This window comes from Homo sapiens, chromosome 1 (genome assembly GCF_000001405.40).
Source record: "Homo sapiens chromosome 1, GRCh38.p14 Primary Assembly".
Taxonomy (NCBI): Eukaryota; Metazoa; Chordata; class Mammalia; order Primates; family Hominidae; genus Homo; species Homo sapiens.
In genome coordinates, this window is record NC_000001.11 from 3,103,168 (window position 1) to 3,123,400 (window position 20,233).

The 20,233-nt window shown below is 59.3% G+C and overlaps 1 protein-coding gene across 2 annotated transcripts in view, besides 3 other annotated features; it reads left to right on the top strand.

Moving 5' to 3' along the window:
* PRDM16 (PR/SET domain 16) overlaps positions 1 to 20,233 on the top strand; it is a 369,419-nt gene that overhangs the window by 33,965 nt on the left and 315,221 nt on the right. The gene's annotated exons all lie outside the window — the stretch shown is intronic.
* Positions 3,859 to 4,418: an enhancer, noted in NCBI's record as "H3K27ac-H3K4me1 hESC enhancer chr1:3023590-3024149 (GRCh37/hg19 assembly coordinates)". NCBI's record gives its function as "activates a minimal SCP1, AML or CMV promoter by ChIP-STARR-seq in primed H9 embryonic stem cells {active_cell/tissue: H9 hESC(primed)}" and the evidence as "EXISTENCE:reporter gene assay evidence [ECO:0000049][PMID:30033119]".
* Positions 10,484 to 11,060: an enhancer, noted in NCBI's record as "H3K27ac-H3K4me1 hESC enhancer chr1:3030215-3030791 (GRCh37/hg19 assembly coordinates)". NCBI's record gives its function as "activates a minimal SCP1, AML or CMV promoter by ChIP-STARR-seq in naive H9 embryonic stem cells {active_cell/tissue: H9 hESC(naive)}" and the evidence as "EXISTENCE:reporter gene assay evidence [ECO:0000049][PMID:30033119]".
* Positions 11,061 to 11,636: an enhancer, noted in NCBI's record as "H3K27ac-H3K4me1 hESC enhancer chr1:3030792-3031367 (GRCh37/hg19 assembly coordinates)". NCBI's record gives its function as "activates a minimal SCP1, AML or CMV promoter by ChIP-STARR-seq in naive H9 embryonic stem cells {active_cell/tissue: H9 hESC(naive)}" and the evidence as "EXISTENCE:reporter gene assay evidence [ECO:0000049][PMID:30033119]".

The window sequence follows — 20,233 nt, forward strand, 5'->3', positions numbered from 1 at the left end:
GCTGTAACCAAGTACCTCGGACCACAGACTGGGCAGCTTAGACAGCAGGAGTTTGTTTTTTCAAAACAAAGGGTCCCCGTGGTGCTGTTTGCTCCTGAGGCCCCTCTTGGGCCCTGTCTTCTGCCTGTGTCTTCACATGGTCATCCCTTTGCATCTGCATCCTCATCTTCTAAGGGCACCCGTCCTATTGGATTAGGGCCCGTCCTAATGACCTCCCTTTACCTTAGTCGTCTCTTTAGAGACCCTCTCGCCAAACGCATTCTGAGCTCCTGGGGTTAGGGCTTCGCCTGTGAATTTGAGGGGACCCAGTGCCCTTCCTCGAAATGTCGTGTTGACTGGCAGTGGCTCTTTGTTCCGGGTCTCTGAGCATGACTGTTAGTGATAACCTCGCATACCGCCAAAAACACCAGCCCCTGAGGGGTGGTGCAGAAACACCTGTGGAGGGTGCCCAGGCCATTGGGCATCGCCTTAAGCAGGTGTGCAGGGCAGGAGGGGACGAGAGTTCTGTAACTGGCATGCACGCACCATTCTGAGAAGCCGCATGAGCTTAAAGAGAGGCCTCAAACCTGAGAGGCGTCCCTGGAAACCAGGGCTGCTCTGGAGTGCACAATTTTTCCCATTTTTGTGGGGTTGAGCCTTTTCAATAAGATTTCAAGAGAATAAAATCCACAGGCCCCAGGGAATTTGCATACGGCTACTTAACATCAATTCTGTATGTTTTTTAAAAAATAAAGAAATAAACACATCCACAAACTTCCCCATCCACAGGGCGGGACTACCCTGGGAGTTAACGGTTCAAACCTATACAATTTTTTAAAACCCAGCAGCTTTCCATAACAAAGGGCAAAATTCACAAACAAATTGCCTTCCTCCGCCGAAGTCACTGCTCCTTGGCCGGGTAAAGGCATGTTGATAACACACAGCTCCTTGGGCCACCACTGAATGGCGGATTCCCATGGAGACAGGGTCCCCCGAGGTCTGATGAGAACAGCATGGCTCAGGAGCCTGCATGCTTGCTCCCTGCTTCCAGCCTTTTCAGAACTCCAGCTCCCAGGCGGCACTGTGGGGACCCAGGAGGCGGCCTCCCAGAGGGAAGTCAGGGCTAAGCAGAGGCAGCCCAAGACCTGCTGTCCTTGCTGGAAGGTGCTAGAAGGAGCTGGGAGGGGTGGGGTTGGAAGGTGCTGGTGGGAGCTGGGAGGGGCTGGAAGGCAAGCGCCTCCGTGCACAGGGCCTTGCTGTTCTAGAAGCTCCAGTGAACAGGCAGAGGCTGCCCGGGGAGGGACAGTGCTAGAGAGGACAGGGTGCTGAGTCAGCGGGCATCTCCAGTGGGCGGGAGACCACAGCAGTTGTCTGCCCCAGTGTTCACAAGGGTGGGCGCCGCAGCCAGCCCTCAAGAAGCCCTCAGTCCAGCCTGGCTGGCCCCGCCTACACATCCAGGAGCATGTGCCAGCGGCCCTCTCCCCAGACCCCTTCTGCCCCCTTCATTCAGAGCTGCAGCCACTTTGTCACCCTGGCAGGCCCCTCTGGGCTACAAACCCCTAGTGAAGTCTTCCTTGGAGCCCCCACCTCCCCACGTCACCTGGCCCTCGCTGTGCATTCCTGGGCCGTGGCCACCCCGCCCACAGACATGGACCCTGAAGGGCAGGGATGCTTCTGCTCCTCCCAGCTCCTGGCAGCATCTGGTACCCAGTGGCCACTTCATGAACGCTCACTGAACACATGCATGAGAGGTGAACACCCACCCGGAGGTAGGGTGGCCTCCAAGGACAGGGCTCTTGCAGGGTGAGTCCCTCAGTGCATGGGAGGAGGCAGGATGGACTGTTCTGGAGCAGGTGTCATGGGAGGATCTGCTGTCCTCTCTGGAAGGTGCTGGAGAGGAGCGGGGGGTGGGGGCGGGTGGAAGGTGCTGGAAGAAGCTGTCAGGAGTGCCTGGGCAGGAGGAGAAGCAGGGCCATCCCCCCAAGTAGTGAGCCCTCCCCACGATGGCCACAGGCTCCTCACTGGGGAGCAGGAGCTTCCACTGCCTGCCTGGTGTCCTGAGGGCTTAGACCTGGAGGTACCACTGTCCTGCCCACCAGCCTCCCTGGGCCCAAACTTGAGGGCCCAGCCCGGCCTGGTCACAGCTCTGACACCCCGCTTCCTCCAGGCACCTGGCCCAGAGCAGAGGCTTCGGTCTGCACTGCAGCACCCTGTGGGTCCAGAGATGGAAGGCGCTGTGCATGGGCGCATGGTCTGGTCAGGGCCCTCTCTGGGCCAGGGGCTGGTCAGCAGGCTCTTCCGGAGCGCAGCCTTGCACCTGAGGCCTGGGCCTGGCTGCAGGAAAGGGAACCCTTGGACGGTCACCGGTCTGGACCCCAAAGGGTTAAGGAGCAAGTGTGCACTTTGTTCCCGGCATCCCCTCAGATGTGAGCCTAGCGCTGTCCCCAATCCCTTCCTCATGACTGTGATTAGTATTGCGGGATGAATAGGCCAGCGCAGATTCCTATGGTAACCTTCAAAATGCATTCCTCGGGCAGGCTCTGCCTCCCGCAGTAATTACATTCCTAACTCGGCCCACAAGCAGCATGCTAATTAGCGCTCCGCTGGCCTCGCCTCCCGCCCTGAGAACGGGGCTAGCAGAGGCCACTGCTGTGTGCAGCCCCTTCCCCCTGCGGCGCCCCAGACAGGACAGGAAACAGGCGAGAGGCCAGGGCAGCTAGGCCAGGCCGGCCACAGAGAGTCTTCAGGGAGGAGCAGCCCAAAGCCCCTCTGCCACGGCCATCCTTAGTGTGCCCCGGGGTCCACCTGTGCTCCTTAGTTGGGTGGGGGCAGGACATGTCCTGAAAGCTCTGCCCTGTCCTCCAGCCCCAGCTTCCTGTTGAAGCTTCCTGGGTGCAGGGCTCAGGGCTGAGAAGGGGGCAGGCTGGGGCCCGTCTCACCCTCGGCCTCAAAGGATGCCAGCCCAGCTCCCCACCTAGCACATGTGGATGGAGTCCTGGCAGGGTGGGCGGGGTATGGGGGGAAGCCCCTGGGGGAGCCTGTCTTCCAAAGAGAGCAGCCCTGGTGAGCAGGTGGCCAGGTCTGCAGAGAACACCTGGCAGGCAGTTCTTTGGATGCGATGGGGGTGTCCAACCTGGAAGCTGAAGGAGAGACACAGGCTAGGAGGGAGGGGAGCTCCCTGGGCAGAGGGGCCGGGGCACTGGGCCTGAGGCTGTTGAGAGCCTGGTGCTTCTGAGGAGGACTGGGTGGTGGCCCCACTGGGGCCCGAGGGGGCTGGAGGGCCAGAAGCGGCTCAGGGGCCCGAGGGCTGGTGCGAGATGGATAGCTTTGCCTGGCTCACACACAGCGGGTACCTGAGCAGAGGCAGGGATGGGGATCCTGCCAGGGCTGGGGGAGTGGTCACAGGGCAAAGGCTGGACAAGGTGGGGCTTGGGGAGTTGTGGTGTGGGTGCGCTGGGTGGCAGAGCTGGCAGGAACTGGCAATGAATTACACATGGGGTTTGGGAAAGGGAAGGCACCCCCAGGTTTCTGTCCCAAGCACCTGGGCCAGTGGAGGCATTTGGCCAGGCCAGCATGGGGGGGAGCAGCTCCCGGCGGGCTGCCTGAGGGTCCACTGGTATCAGCGAGGCAGTGCTGGCCATTGCTGGGCTGGCATTGGAAGGTAAGGGCAGAGGGCTGTGCCCATAGGGCTGATAGTGCTGGCCCTGTCACTGAATAGTGGGCACCTGTTCTCTAGTGGGCAGGTGTGGCTCCATGACAACAGCGCCTGGGGCCAACAGAGCCCTGCCACCCAGACGACCAGAAGGAGAGGGGGCCAGCCTTTCTCTCCCCTGCCCCACCAGAGGCCAGGATGGCAGCATGGCCAGGGGGCAGGCCCTAGGGCCAGGTGTCATGGGCTTAAGCCTGGCAAGAGCAGCTCACACCTCATCAGGGTGGGGCCAGTAGGTGCCCCAGGAATTTTGGTGTCTGCTGCTGCCATGGCCTCAGGGAAGGAAGCCGAGGGCCCAGGAAGCAGGGCTGCCATTTCCCAGGGTCAAGTGTCTCCAAGAGCAAAGCTGCTCACCTTGAACCTCACCCTGCCTATGTCCCCACCCTGTTGGTCTTGGGGGACCAGTCTGGTGGATTCCAGAAGGCTGTGGCTACAGCTAGGCTTTCGGGCTTGGGCAAAGAGCTGGGAGCAGGTGGTTCCACAGTGCTGGCTGGGCCGGGGGAGCCATTGATTTTGTGCCCAGGTGGTTTACAGTGTGAAGCTTAGGGAGGGATTACCGGGCTCGGGATTTGGAAGCCAGCAGTTCCTTGGTGTCAGTCTGCACAACTAATTCTAATGTAAATAGAGCAATCCTTTAAGTATATATCATTTAATGCCCGATGGGGAGCCTGCGGATCTCCTTACCGCCATCCTCATCTCAGAGTAGCTGCTGGTTAACTTCTCTGTCTCAGCCCATTTCTCTGATGGCGGGTGTTTGTGGTAAACCCCGTGAAGGTGTCACAATCATCATGGAAGGCATCCTGGATGGATTTCTGTTCCCTTTTGTCCTCCTCACTGGACCAGTGACTCGAAACCACCTTTCCTTGTAAGAGACACACACTATCCCTGGGAACTCTGCTAGCCAAACCCCAGCTGCCTCCTGGTTGTGCTGGCTGTGGCCCCTGGCCTCACTCTCTCCCTGCCCTGGGCCTTGCTCAAGCCACTACTGGCCAAGCTCTGGGCCTCAATGACCATGCCATGTGTCTAGCCTGGGGCTGGGCTTTCCTGGGAGGTCCTAAGGTAAATGCTGTGCAACCCCTGCCGGGGAGGGGGGCTGAATTGTCAGGGAATAGCAAGGCAGCACTGGCACTGCCACAGTGGCTGGTGTCAGGGAGTTCACCTCCACACCAGGCCATGCCAAACTGATTCCTTTCTCCAGACAAACCTTGAGTTGGGAGCTCTTATTATCTCAGTTCCACAGCCTGGGAGATGCAGCTGCAGCACACAGAGTGTGAAATCTTACATTCGTAGGACTGGGAGAGCATGTCTAGCAAGGGGCCATTGGTCTTGCCGTTTGTCCTTAGAGCTTTGCTTCCTTTAAAAATAAACCCTTCCCTATTCCCAATCCAAATTATCCTGTAATTCTTTTTTGAAGTTTTACTTTCCATCATGAAGTCCTTCAACCCACCAATGGTGAATTTTTATGTATGGTGTGAGGTAGGGATCTAACTTTTCTTTCATGCAGCTGGTGGGTAAGCTCCATCCCAGCCTGGTCTATGTAGGGGAAGTATTCACCTCTGGGATTTAAAATGTTACCAAGTAACCTGCAAAATCACCTCTGTGACAGTCAAAGTTTTGTCCCAGTGAGGGTCTGTCTCTCAGTTTCTCATCTCTTTCTTCCCAATCATCAGTTGGTTTATGCCTGGCAATGCTACAGTGCCTGACACAGCTATTGGAGTAATCGCCATATGCTAGGGACAGGCACCCTGCCAGGTGCTGTCCTCTGCTTTTGGAGGGGTGGAGGAAACCAAGGCACAGAGAGATGGTGCCTCTGGGCAGCTGCTCCAGGTCAAAGCACTGTCAAGAAGGCCGAGTGGCCCTGAGATGGGAGCTGGTGCCAGATGTCTGTTCCCTTCCTGTCCTGCCAGGAGGGGTCCATTTGAGCAGGACCTTCAGAGGCAGTGCCCCCTTAGTGCTCAGGATGCCAACAGATTGTCCCAAAAGGTGCTGGCAAATTTTTAAAATAATGTGAAACAGCCTGACCAACATGATGAAACCCTGTCTCTACTAAAAAAAAAAAAATACAAAAATACAAAAATTAGCTGGGCGTAGTGGTGGACACTTATAATCCCAGCTACTCAGGAGGCTGAGGTATGAGAATTGCTTGAACCTGGGAGGTGGAGGTTGCAGTGAGCCAAGATTGCACCACTGCACTCCAGCCTGGGTGACAGAGGAAGACTCCATCTCAAAATAATAATAATAATAATAATAATAATAATAATGTCAAACAAAATCACATATTTTGAAAAACAGGTGTGTCCCATGCAGCACCCTAAAAAGGCTGGGGTGTTTTACCTTCTTTCTGTGTCACAGGTTTTTGTCGCCTTGGGGCTAAGTGTGCTGATCCGGTCCACGTTTTGCAGGTGGGTGGGCTGCCACCAGCTCCTTCGACTGGACCAAATGCCGTGGATTCTAGCTTGTATTCAGTATTATTATCATTATGATTACTTTACCATTCACCAAGGGGCAGCACCATCCTGGGGAGGCAGCTGCATCCTCATCCGTGGAGCCCGCAGGATGCAGGCTGAGGCTCTCTCTCCTCCTGCAGATGTTCAGACTAGCTCCCTAAACAGACGCTAAAGTGATTCCTCCCCACAGATCTCAGAAGTCAACTGCCCTTTAATAACTGTCTAATACTAAACGCTCCTGGGAGGCCCTAGTGAAGCATCACAGACCATTAGACCGGGGCTTCCGCCGAGGACTAATTGAGCAGCCCTTAGGGCTTTTCATCTGGGCAAGAATCCGAACTCCTCCAGGAAAGCATCAAGTCCATCCCGGGGAGTGTGGCAGGGGAATTTCCATCCCGTCTGTGTGCTTGAGCAAAGGACATGAAAGCAAACGAGTATGGGAGTTATTACGGGGTCTCAAAGCCAAATTTCCCCCCAAATATCACCTGAGTGGCCCATGGAGAGAATGGATGAGTGGCCGGTGTGTTTTTCAGGGGAAGCTCATTTGTGTTGGATATGGGCTCAGCTGGCATCACCTCTTTCCAGACACAGACACAGACAGCAGCTCCTCCATGTCCTGCGTGTGGGGACACAGTGCTCGGGGGCTCCCCTATGTCCTGGGTGTGGGGACACAGTGTCTGTGCCTCCCCCGTGTCCTGGATGTGGGGACACAGTGTCTGCGGCTCCCCCATGTCCTGGGTATGGGGACACAGTGCTCGGGGGCTCCCCTCTGTCCTGGGTGTGGGGACACAGTGGCTGTGGCTCCCCCATGTCCTGGGTGTGGGGACACAGTGTCTGCGGCTCCCCCATGTCCTGGGTGTGGGGACACAGTGTCTGTGGATCCCCCATGTCCTGGGTATGGGGACACAGTGCTCGGGGGCTCCCCTCTGTCCTGGGTGTGGGGACACAGTGGCTGTGGCTCCCCTATGTCCTGGGTGTGGGGACACAGTGTCTGCGGCTCCCCCATGTCCTGGGTGTGGGGACACAGTGCTCGGGGGCTCCCCCATGTCCTGGGTGTGGGGACACAGTGTCTGCGGCTCCCCCATGTCCTGGGTGTGGGGACACAGTGTCTGAGGCTCCCCCATGTCCTGGGTGTGCAGACACAGTGCTCAGGGGCTCCCCCATGTCCTGGGTGTGGGGACACAGTGTCTGAGGCTCCCCCATGTCCTGGGTGTGCAGACACAGTGCTCAGGGGCTCCCCCATGTCCTGGGTGTGGGGACACAGTGTCTGTGGCTCCCCCATGTCCTGGGGAACGTATTTTAGTGATTGAAGTTGGACCTAACGTGGGTGTTTTCTCAAGTATTCATGCAAATCATTATCTAAAGAGAGAATGTATTTCTGTTAGGATGTCAAGATCAGCTTGGTGTGAACTTTCCTTCTCCTCACGTGGCATCTCTGAGTTGTGGGCTTCCTGTGGTCCTGGAGAGAATGTTCCGGCTCAGCCTCTCTTTAACAGGAGCGTGGGAGGGATGGAGGCCACGTGTGAGGGGCACATGCTTGGGGCCGGGATGAGGTGCAGCTCTTGGGATAAGAACAGTTGCCGAGTCCTTGCCGCCTGATGCCCCGGGGTGGGGTGGGGGATGGGTCTAAATCGAAGGAGGCCAGAGATTGCCCGGTTCTGGGCAAGACGGCAGGGGAGCCATTGCCAGCCTAGCTTCGTGGGCTGGTGAGGATGTGGCACCGATGTATTGAGGAATCCCTGGGCCCCACACCTGCCGAGTGTGAGATGGGGAAGCTGGAGGTGGGAGGCTCCACGCTGGCTCACGTGCAGGGGCCCAGGGATTCCCAGGGCAGGCCCCTAGGACCCTGTCCACACCTGGCCTTGGGCCCTGCTGGCCACTGCTGGGCCCCTGTGCCCACGTCACAGCCTGCCTGTGCCAAGGCCCCTGGGAGACGCGGAGAGAAGGGAAAGAGGCTTGTCCTCGGCCACGGCCTTAGTGGGGTGCGGGCAGCACCGGCCTCTGTGTGATCCTGCACTGGGCAGTGGGGGAGGCAGGATGGACAAGAGTCTCCCTCCTGAAGGTGGTGCTGGGGGGAAGTCCACACATGGAGGCAGGATTCTTGTCAAGGGGTGGAAAGCCAGGCCAGGCACCTGTGTGGACCCAGTGCCACGCGGACTCCTGTGGGGAGGAGGACAGGCAAGGAGGCCTCGAAGAGGGAAGACCAGAGAAGGAGGGGAAGGGGAGAGCGGAGGGAAAGAGGTGGGATAAGGAAGAGAAGGAGGAGGAAGGGGAAGAGGGAGGAGGGTGCCGAGCAAGGTTGGGGGAGCCCAGCGCACGGAAAGGAGGCGCAGGTCAGGGGCGCACGCCCCCTGGGGCGGGGGCGCAGGCCGGCTTTCAGGTACCGGCCTTTTGTCTGCTGCCTTGGGCTCGCCTGTCAGCCCCGCTGTCAGAGGCCTAATCTTTTTTTCTTCGCGGCTGAAAAGGCCCAGCGCCACATCAGGCGACACACGGCTGCCTATTCTCCTTCCCCGCAGAACCCAATCACTGGACAGCGCCACGATAATTCACTCCCCAGCCCGCCCTTTGAAAAGGTGGGCCGCCTCTGCGCCGCTCCCCAGCAAGATAAATCATGTACTCGAAATTAACTTCCATTGAGAGGGAGGGCAGGAAGAAAGGCTGATGGGCCGGCGCGGCGGCGAGGGAGGACCGGCCTTGATAAATGTCAGTGCGGATAATTGGGGGGCTGTGATTAAGATCTTATCTAGGTGGGAAGTAAACAGAAAAGACTTTAATAAAACTCCTGCCCCATCCACGCTCACTAACTTGAGAAGTTCCTTTCCCCCCCTTATTTTTGGGGGTGAATTCAGAAGAGAATACCAAAAAGGTCTTAGCGAAGGAAAAGTTGGTTTCAGGGCATCACTTAAAAGGATTAAACGGACCTCGGAGGAGCCTCGGCGTTTCACCCGTGGTGACAAAAGGCAGAGGAAACAGAAGGGAGCACGGCTTTGTCCCCAAATTCCCACTTATACGAAATGATGAAATTTCAGGGCTGAGCATCCATCGTGGGCCCCGGGAACCGGCCTCTCAGCCTCTCTTTTCGCTTCTCTCTAGTCATAAGCATTATCTTGGTCTGTAAACATTCTTTTTTCAAGTAAGAGGAGCCCCGCGCTTGCACAGCCTGGGGTGCGGGAGGCAGTTTGCACGGGAAGGCTCTGTGTTCCCGGGCCGGCTTCGCCCCAGGGCCCCGCTCAGTGGCCTTCGCCTGGGGATTGATGTTTGCTGCCCTGACTCCAGCAGCCTGCAGCTCCAACCCACGCTGCTGGTGGAGGGAGCGTCTGTGGAGCCTGTCCTCCATCGCTGGTGCCCTGGCCGGGCCGCATTCCTGCAGACAGGGCCTTCCCACTTGCGTGGACCACCCCCTGCAGCCGGGCAGCTGCTCCCCGGTGAGGGTTTCTGCCAGCTAAGGGCATAGTCACCCTTGCATTGGCAAATCCGTCTGAGGTCTGCACTCCCCTAATTGGAGTCGCTCAGGGAGGCAAAGGGGTGGGCAGCCCCGAGGGCCCGCCTGGGCTCCAGCCCCATCATCCTCCTGTGGAACGGGGTCCCGGGCCATCCTTCTTGCGGGGAGAGCCTGTGGGAACTCACTGAGGTCACATGTGCAAAGGGCTCAGCTGGCAGTTACAAGGACTGGGGTGTGCTCCCTGTGCCATGCAAGTCTTCCCAGACTGGTGCAGGGCCTGCCATGGGGCACCCAGAGCCCCAGCTAGAAGCAGACCCAGGGAACAGCCAGCCTCTGTGATACTGGGGGGCCTCTTGTGGAGGGGGCTGTGGCCTGTGTGGCTCCAGCAGATCTGAGATATTACTGGGCCACAGGGACTCCACGGAGGGGGCTGGACACCCGTGCTGTGCACACTGCAATGTTCTCCCCCAAGCTCTGGTCAGCCCGTCTGCGGTGGCCTGGCTGTGGGCCACTGGAGGGAGCATCAGGTGCAGGGGAGTGGGAGGGGAAGCAGGACAGGGGCCCGGAGGAGACAGGACGGCTAGGGGATTGTGACCCTGGAACACAGTGGCTCCTTCACTGCAGGTCCCAGCCCGAGTGTGACTCAGTCCTCAGCTGGGCAGGGGAGGGCGTGGGGATGCCCAGGACCTGCACTTACTAGGTGCTTAGCAAAGGTGCCTAGAGAGGAAGGCTCGGAGGAAGGAGGGAGGGAGGGAGGGGAGGGGACGAGACAGACCCATTATGACCAAGGCCGAGGCCTGAGCCAGCGGGAGGGGCCTGCGTCCATGGCTGGCCTTGGCGTCACTGACACTTTGCTCCGAATAATCCCTTGTCTTGCTGGTCGTCCTGGGCACTGCAGGGCGCTGAGCAGCATTCCCGGCCCCCACCCACCAGACCAGGGTGGCTCCCCCTCAGAGCTGACCACCAAACACATCCCCAGACATGGCCGCGTGCCCCAGGGCAGAACCCCCGTCTGGGGGCCCTGGGCCAGAGGCAGAGGCTGCATCCTGGCAGGGAGGCCCAGACTCCCTCGAAGGTGCCCCTGTGTCTGCCTCCCTCAGGCCGGCTCTGGGCTCAGAAGCTCTGGAATCGAAGGAGTTAGATGCTTTCCCTTGAGAATATTTTCTGTTTCATTTTGAGGGAGAATTTTTTTCTTTTTTTTCTCTCCCACTCGGGATGTGAAGGACAAACACTGGAGTGGTTCCTCTGTTTTCTTTGGTTTTGTTTTTAAACCTACTAGTCATGTGCGGAGGAGTTTCAGGGACAAAGTTGCCAAGTTTTGAAGTGTAGATTTGTATTTGCATGTTCATTTGTGATGGCGCCGTGCTGCAGTAAGACAGCGGCGTGTATCTCTGCACACTGCACACACGCACACACACACGCACACACACGCACACACACGCACACACGCACACGCACGCACACACGCACACGAACACACACGCACACACGCAGTGTAAACATGCACACGCACGCGCACACGTACACACACGCACACACGCAGTGGAAACGCACACGCACGCACACACACGCACACACGCAGTGTAAACAGACGCGCACGCATGCACACATGCACACACGCACACACGCAGGTGTAAACAGACGCGCACGCACGCGCACACACACGCACACACATGCACACACCAGGTGTAAACAGACGCACACGCACACACACGCACACACGCAGTGTAAACAGACACGCACGCACGCACACACGCGCATGCACACACACATGAACACACGCACACATGCACACATGAACACACACACGTGCACAAACAAGCACACACTTGCACACACAAGAACACACGTGCACATGCACACACGTGCATACACACATGAACACACACATATGTGCAAGCACACACACGTGCACACACAAACACACATGCACACATGCACCCGGGTGCACACACACACAGAGGGAAGGCACCCTCCTGCAGCCGGGTAGATGGTGGGGTGCAGGCCCCTGACGGGGAGCTCCTGCGCTTCACCAAACAGCCACCACTCCCAGCCCTGCCCAGACCATCCCAGGTCAGCCCTGCAATTGATCTCCAGAGTCCCAGATGTTGTGGGAAGGGGAGGAAGAGGCCCTGGCCGGGATGCAGGATTCGCACTCAGCCCTCAGGGTGAGGAGAGGCGCCTCCCTGCACACTTGGCCAAGGCCTCCTTCTCCTCTGACCTCGCCCCTGGGCCCACCCCACCCCTGGCTGGTGACATCTGGGTGTAGCCTCTGGAGTCTGGTGCACAGAGTGACACATTTGGTTTTCAGCCACAGTGTGGGCCTGGCCAGCCTCTGAGCCTGAGTGCTGCAGCCTTCTGTGCCCTGCCCCGCTCCTCCCACATCATCACATTCCTCGGTGAGTGGTTGGGGGGGCACTCGCTATTGGATGGCACCCATCACCCTGTGACCCCGCCTCTCCTGGGTCCCCCACACATTGGAGTTCATGAGACCCTCATGTGAAGGCTTCAGACCCCAGCCAGCCCCAGCTGTCCCATCAGTGGGGGCAGAGGGGCTGTGAGAATGTGGTGGCCCCATCAGCGCCCGTCAGAAAGGGAGTGCAGGGGGCCTGGAAAGTGGCAGAGAGAGCAAATACGCCAGCTCCTGAGCAAACCCAGCGGGACGGGGAGATGACAAATGATGGGATTGTGTCAGCTTGAGAGAGATTGGACTAATGGCACGCGGACTTTGCACTCTGAGGATCAATATTCCATCAGGCAGTGGAGCGCCAGCCTAGCGAGTGGCGTTTATGTGGACAAAGGCGAGATCCCCCCATAGTCTGTGCACACTGCCCCGGCGCCGGCCTCCGCCGTAAGCCTGAGTGAAGCCGAGAGGGGGCGGGGGCCACGGAGGGTCTTGGCATCCCCTGAGTGATGGGGGCAAAGGCCGGGCTGACCGGGGGCTGCCGCTGGCCTGGGCGTCTAGCCCTTGGCCTGCAGTCCTGCCTTCCACACGGCATCTCCTATGGCTACAGGTTGGCATCCTCGGGGTGCCCTCGGGCCGCTGGTGCCCAATGCCAGGTGCTGTCTTCCCAAAAGCTGTTTCTGTTCTACCTGGCTCTGCCCACCTCTTCTCTTCTCTGGCCCATGCTTTGAAGTCTCGGGTGTCAGGAGGCCAGCACTGCAGCCTCCCACCCTGTGTCCAGCATCTGGGGGGCTGCTATCTAGGCTGTCCATGCCCCAGCCTCCCGGGAGGACTCCCAGGCGGCCCCTCCCAGCGTCTGCAGCTCCCCAGGGGGCGGGGCTCGATGGCAGGTGCTAAACGCAGGCAGGTGTGGCCAGCCGGAGCCCCTCACACGGCAGGCGTCAGGTTGAGTCCTTGGGGTTCAGGGAGGTCAAGGTCAGGCCTAGCGTGGGTGGTCATCTCAGGGGCAGCACTGGTGGCCGTTGAATTGTTCCTTACCGGGGAGAACAGGTGGCAGGGAGGGATGGTTCCAGACCCCATGGCACCCGTGTCTCTGCAGTGTGTCCCTCTCATGGGGGGACAGTAGGCAGAGCTCCCCGGCTGCCCTGCGCCGGCGTGCTCACTCCGCGGTGCGTGCTTAATACCCACAGTGTGAGAACCGAGAGCCAGGGCCAATGACGGGGGGGACGCGGGTTCACGGGTGGCCTGGAGACGTGGCACCGTACCTCCCTGCTCCCTTCCTGTGAGAATTTTGCCCTCAAGATGGCAGCCCAGCCTGGATGCCCAGACCCCATTCCCAAGCCGCAGGTCCTGGTCTGGGCTCTGTCACTCGGGGACGCGCCTGCTTGTCTTTCCCCGGCTGGGGCAGTGCCTGGTCTGCTCAGCCCTTCCTCTCTCCCCGCCCGGGACAGAGGCTGCCCCAGGGGACCGCAGCTCCGGCTCTGATGGCAGACACGGTGTGGCCTGTCACTGCGGGTCTATGCCCGAGCTCTGGCCAGACGATGGTCAGGCTGACCTCAGAGGTCAGAAGCCACTTCTGGCCACACCCTTGCTCTTGCAGCCCTGAAGCCCTCACCCCAGCAGGCCTAGCTGCTCCATGGCTCTGGCCCCGCTGGTGACTTGGTGGAGGGCTTGGAGCTCCGTGTGCCCCCACCTGCCTCCAGTCAGGCCCTCCACAAACCCCCGTGACTGGGCACTCCTTGCAGCACAGCCTGGTCACAGCCCAAGCCCGACCTCCCTCCCTCCACGGCACTCACACCTGGGGTGGATCAGGACTTCTGGTCCATATCCCTCCTGGAAGTATAGAAAGTGAGTCTGAATTCTGGCCCTGAAAGTGGGGTGACAGGTGGGCACAGCTGCCCCCAGGACCCACGGGAAGGGCTAGAGCAAGGGGCTCCTATCGGGGGCTGCTTCCTCGGTGGGAGGAGCCCCTCCTGCGTGCTCTTCTGCTCCGGCTGTTTCGGCTCCCATCAGCCGGGATCATTCATCTCTGGTTTCTTGTCTCACACCGGCCTCTATGAGAGCGTCCCCAGGCTGACCCAGGCTTACAGGCATTTTAAATACAAACATGGCAAGTGGGGACCGGGAGTGCTGGCCCCAGCATCCTGGTGGTCATGGCCCTGGCCTTCCTCAGGAGTCGGAAATTGGATTAGACCGTGCAGGGATGGGGCCAATTGGAACCAGGGGTTCGGAGGGTCTCTGCAGAGGTGGCTGGGAGCTGGCGGGTGAGAACGCAGGGGGAAGGAACACCCTTTCTGCCCCAGAGAGCCTGTGAGGTGCATGTCTGGGGAGTGGTCTAGAGCCTGGGGGCATCGCCATGCCACCTCACCTCTGGCTACCACGCAGGCCTCGCCTATGCTGTCCCCACCCCCGGTTTCCTTCTGCTTGATTTGCCAAGTTGTCCAGAGCAGAAAAGGACTCTGCCTCCCCAGGGCCCATCTCCAGGGTGAGGAGCAGAGCCAGGCCCTACTTCTGGAGGGGGCCCGGCAACCCAGCCTAGTCCAGGCCCAGGTCCCGTCTGGCCTCCTGTTGACCGCTGGGCTGAGCCACAGGCCCGGGCCCGCCTTGTCCTTGTGCTCCAGCGATCAGGTGCTGGCTCTCCATGGGACCACAGACCCCAGGGCTCGCTGGTCTTGGGGAGAGGCCTCCGCACATTCATGTTTCCACTTGGAATGCAGGACAAAGGCTCCAGGTGGTGCCACAGATTCACCGGCTACAAGAGGCAGGGCTTCCTGGTGCCGGAAATCCATGCAAGTTGTGCACGTGTGTGTGCATGCATGCTCATGCTGTGTGTGTGTACATGCACGCGTGTGTGCGTGTGCGTGTGTGCATGTGTACATGCATGTGTGTGTGCATGCTCATGCTGTGTGTGTACATGCATGTGTGTGTGCGTGCATGTGTATGTGTGTACATGCATGTGTGTGTGCGTGTGCGTGTGTGCGTGTGTACATGCATGTGTGTGCATGCTCATGCTGTGTGTGTTTGGAAAGATTGTGTGTGCATGCATGTACACACGCACACACGCACACACACACGTGCACACACGTGCATACACACGCACAGAGCTATCCCCAGAAGGCTGATCCAGACCTGCTCAGAGTGCAGAAAATGGAGCCATCCAGAAGGAAACAGCATGGAGCCCTGGTGGCCTGGATGGCAATTCACACTCCTGCACCCCCACCTGGCCCCTCGGAAGCGTGACAGCCATGGAGAGGGGCTCCTGGGTGTGCCTGGACACTCCCTACCCAGGACCTAAGCTGGCAAGGGGGCAGCTTTGGGAGCTAGAAGTGGTTGGATTCCGGGTAGTGTGGCCAGGGGCCTTCCCCGGCATGATGGCATCCGCCCCCAGCTCATGGCCCAGGTCTCCATGAAGATGAACAAAACACCACCAGGAGAGGGGGAGGCAAAGCCGGGAAAGAACCAGGGAGTCTGTGTGGCTTTCACCACATGCTCAGGTGCTCTGTGGCATATGACCATGTCTCCAGGACTGGCAGTCGGGGGGTGTCAGGGACCCCCAGAGCGGACTTGATCTCAGCCTGGGGGCCACGTGGATGGAGTCCAGGGAGACCCCAGCTGCTGGCGTGCTAGGGCGTGCGTGTACACGTTTGTGTGCAAGTGTGTGTGCACGTGCATGCGCTGTGTGTGCACTTGCAGGTGTTTGGACACAGGGCCCGAGGCACCTCTGTGCCCAAGTGGGACTGAAGACTCCCATCAAAGAAAGGCCTGGGAGAGCCCCCTGCCCGACCTTCTAAGGCATTTTGGCAAGAAAACACCCTGGCTGAGGAGCGAGACCCTGGCCCACAGGGTTGCTTGACCCCAGAGCAGGCAGGGTGGGTCCTCCCTGTAGAGCTGGGGGTGGCCCGGGAGGTGGGAGACGGTATGGCCATCTCTGTACCCTGTGCCCTCCTTCAGGCCAAGGGCCTTTTTGGTGGGACTGGCTGGCCTAGTGACTTCCAGCTGCACAGCTATCGACCCAGGGCTGGACAGCCCCTGCCTGGCAGAGCCTGGCCATTTGCTTTCAGGAGCACCCCACCCCGGCGGCCACAGTGGGACTTCCTTTCCAGGTGCTGGTGAAGGGCCGGTGCCTCGGCCGGTGCCGTGGACATTCTTTGTGCGGCCAGGCGGGTGACCCGCTGCAGGCTTGGCCCTCTGGGGTCTGGTTAATTACCTTTCTCCAGACACTGGCGTGGAAAGTCATTTCCTTGAGAGGATGCGGGGAGGAGGACTCCCCATCCAGCCCTGGCCTCCACAGCCGCCTGGGCCAGGTTGGGGGACATGGGGGCTGAGTTTTCTAGTGTGGCCTTGGGTCACTCCAAAGCCTCACCCCCAGGGATGGGGACTTGGGTGCTGTCCCGTGCCTGGCATCCAGGGCAGGGGGTGATGTTGTGTGTTTTCTCTCTGAATCAGGCTGCTGATCGTGACCTGGCTGGGGAGGGGGTTCTAGAAGCCTGGCCATGGCCCGATGAGGCAGATAGGAAATCAAGGGCCAAGGCCTCGGAAAGTGGGAGAGTGGCTGGGGGTGCCGTGTTTTGTACAAAGAGATTTTTATGACTGATCCTTTTTCTTCACGTAAGCGGTGGAGTTAAGTGTTTGGAATTGCTGCAGACGCTGAGAAAGGCCTGCCCCTGTCACGCCGGATTGTCCCCTGCTCAGCAGCTGACACAGCCCATCTGCAGTGTGCGGGGGAGAGGGAAGCCTGCAGAGGGGCAGCCCCCAGGATCCCTGCGGCCCCACAGCCCCTTCCCTGCCTGGAGGCTGTTTCTTGGAGGGGGGAGAGAGGAAGCAGCACCCAGGCTGCAGCCCTGCCTGCCTGCCCTAGCTTGGGAGCCCCGCCTGGTGGCCGAGGCTGCTGGTGCCTCCTTGCTCAGGGGCAGGTGGAAGTGGTCAGTCTGCCCACCACCAGCCCTTATCCCACAGGTGGCCCCTGAGCTTCCGTGGGGGATGGCAGGGTCAGCCCTCACCGTCGGCAGAGTTATCAGTTCGCAGCTTGAAATCCAAGTAATTAAGGCGATGGATTAAATCTGTGGGAAGTCTCCACACTGGCCCATATCACATCGTTCCACAAAGATCGCGTGTCCTCCCTGCCCCCTGTCTGGCAGCCTCCCCTCCCGGGGCACTGGAAGATTCCAGGGACGTGTCTGGTACGCTTCAGCCTGGTTGAGGTCGTCACCGCAGAAGGGAGTTTTGGGGTTTGGCCCAAGGCCCGGTGACAAACAGGAGCTGCAGAGTGGCTGGGAGGACGGGAGGGGCTTTGCTCCTGAACTCGGGGGTCGTCACACACAAAAAGACCACTTCAAGTGTGCACCAGGTCATTTCTTTTTAGCTACCCCAGAGTGTCTGCCACCATCCCCGCAAAGCTGGAGAAAGAGAAACCCAGGCAGCCAGAAAGGAACTCGGGAGACCCCCACCCCTCTGTCCCTGCCCCTGTCCCCGGCAGCCCCCTGGGAGCGGGAGGATGCCTGCCCTTGCGTCTCTGCGCTGGAGCTTCTGACACCTTTCGCAGTGAAAGGCAGGGTGGATAGTCGGTGAGGAGAGGGTCTGGAAGCGGTGGGCCTCGTGGGAGTGACCCCAGCCAGGCAGAGTCTGGGGACCCGGATGGCAGGGCCGAGCCCTGGCCAAGAGTGCAAGGAGGCTGCCGGCCCCAGAAAGAACCATTAGAAGCCCCTTTCCGCTTCTGCAGGGATTTGCAGAGACTTGTTCTCTCCGGGATCTGCCATTCCAGGGGCTCCTCACCTTCAGGAGCTGTGTCTGAATGTCTGAGGGACCTTCACATGTTTGGGTTTGGATTGGAAACAGGATATGATTGACTTGTGAGCATGTTAGAATCTTGTGCTGGGACAAGGTGAGCGTGTGGTTTCTCCCCCTTTCTTTCTGTCGTGTAGGAAAATGCTTTAGTTAGGGCCCGGCTTGGAGGCAGGGCTGAGGAGTCAGCGGAGGCTGAGGCCAGAGGACAGCTTGCCCGTCACGGAGCCCGCAGGTCACAGGATCAGGCCTGGCCCCCGAGCTGCGTAAGATCAGCTGGCCTGGTCAGGACGGAGCCTGCCCCAGGAGCCCACCCTCCCAGCAGGACCCGGGGCTGCGGTGCCTCCGGTCCTAGCAATCTGCCCCTGAAAATGGCCCTGGTTTGGGGGCAGGGCACAAACGGGAGAATGACATTATTTGTTTTTAAAAACAGCTTTTATTTTAAAAGCCTGTCCTGGAGGAAAGCAACCTGGAGCTGTTTTCAGGACCGGGCTCAGAAAAGATCAGCTCCTGATGAAAACAAAACACAGTGAGGACAAGCCAGGTAGCCCAGAGGCCCCCAGCTGGAGCAAACCGTTTCTGTGGAGACTCCGAACGTCGCCTGCCTCCTGCAAGGCCGCTAGTGTCTCCCGGCCTGGGCCTGGCCTGGAAGTGCGGGGCAAAGGGCGGTGGTGAGAAATGAATGGGCTTCCGAATGCCGAGAAACAGATGTGAGGCTGTGCCGAGGAAGGGGAGGACAGGGAACCAGCTGATTAGGGGATCCGGGGCAGGGCCAAGTGCCGCCGACAGCCTTGGGGGACAGCGGCCCTCCACCTCGGCTGCGCGCTGCAGGCCCTTCTCTGCGGGGCCGGCCAGGCCTCCCTCCTGCCAGCACCCCCTCCCCAGGCGGCTGGGGACCCCGGAATGTGTGGCCCTGGCGGGAAGTGGAGGAAGAAGGGCTGCAGCCCCGTCAGTACCCTGGGTGATGTAGTGAGTGAAACATCTTGAAAAAGGAAAGCAAATCCCGCTCTAATCTCCCCGAACAAAGGCCTTTCAGTTGGACCAGAGTGGCAGGCGCGGGCGGTTGGTATCGCCAGATCTTTTCTATGAAACGCGCACCCGGCGGAGTATGGATCTGATTAGGGGAGCCAGCCTCACCGCGAGCCCCTTTCCTGCGCACGGTGTCTGTGGAGGTCAGGCGGACACGTCCAGCCATGGCCTGGACACAGACAGCCGGGCTGTGTGGCACAGGACTGCCTGCTGGAAGCTTCCGCCTGCGCACTCCTCCCGGCCTCCCGTGCAGTGCTGGGAAAAACCGAGTGCCCCTTCTAACAATTTCTAATCGACCCTTGAGATGCTGGGCCCTCGACGCTCTCTGCAGATCCCCTCCTCTGTCCGGTTGCTGCTCTGTCATGTCCCTCAAACATTCAAACACAGCTCCTGGGGGTGAGGAGCCCCCGGAATGGCAGATCCCGGAAACAGCAAGTCTCTGCAAATCCCATCAGAGGCTTTGAGTCTGTCACAAACCTGAAGCAATGTCTCTTCAAAGCTCTGTCCCAGAAGCAAATGGACCCCTTGAAGGTGGCCGGCCTCCCCTGGGGCCCACCTGGGGGCTGCGAGTGGCCGCGTGGAGAAGTTTAAGCCTTCAGCAGAACAAACAAAACTCAAGTGCCCGCAAGAGGAAGAAAGGATCATTATACGAGTGGAAAAAATGAACCGTCTCGACTCAGCAAATACCGCAGCCCTGCCCTCCTTCCAGACATTCCCCCCCTCCGTGCTGCCCCCACACTAAAAACAGCCCAGGAAAGGAAATCAAATTTAGGGTTTCACTAACTGGCCAGAATGCTTAATTTAATAAGGGGTGGGAGATGCTGTTGTATTTTATTTTATTTTATTTCTACTTTGAACAGGTTGAATCTTCCTGTAGGGCTCTAGGGAGGCGGCGGCTGGGAATGAGAACCAGCCCCAGCTTTGCAAATTCAAACCAGGACTGGAGCGCGGGAAGGGCAAGAGGCGGAGCGCTTGCACGGGAGCCCGAGGCCTGGGGGACGGCTCAGGGGGTCTTGGTGCTCAGGGCAGCGGTGTGCAAGGGGCCAAGGTGGGTGGGAAGAAACCTCCTTGATTTCACCAGGTCCTGGATGAGAAGTCAGTGTTCTTCGGTGTAAAGTGAAGAGCCCGAGGGCTGGATGCGTGGTTGCTGTGTCGGCTGTGTGCTTGCACCTCATACATGGGACAGCAGGCCCAAGCCTTCGGCGCTCCCCTCTTCTGCCATCATGGCAAAGCCAAACCCTTGCACAGGGGACAGGGGCTGCAGGATGCCTTGGTATCAGGTTCCCAGGAACGTGTCTGTCTCCATGGCAGAGAGGCCCTCAGGAAAGCCGACAGGACCCTAACAGGTGACAGTCCTGGGCTGAGGGGTTCAAAGCAATGTATCTCCAGGCGTCTGACAAATTTATCAACCCCCAAGTGTGGCACCCGTGCAGAGGGGGGTG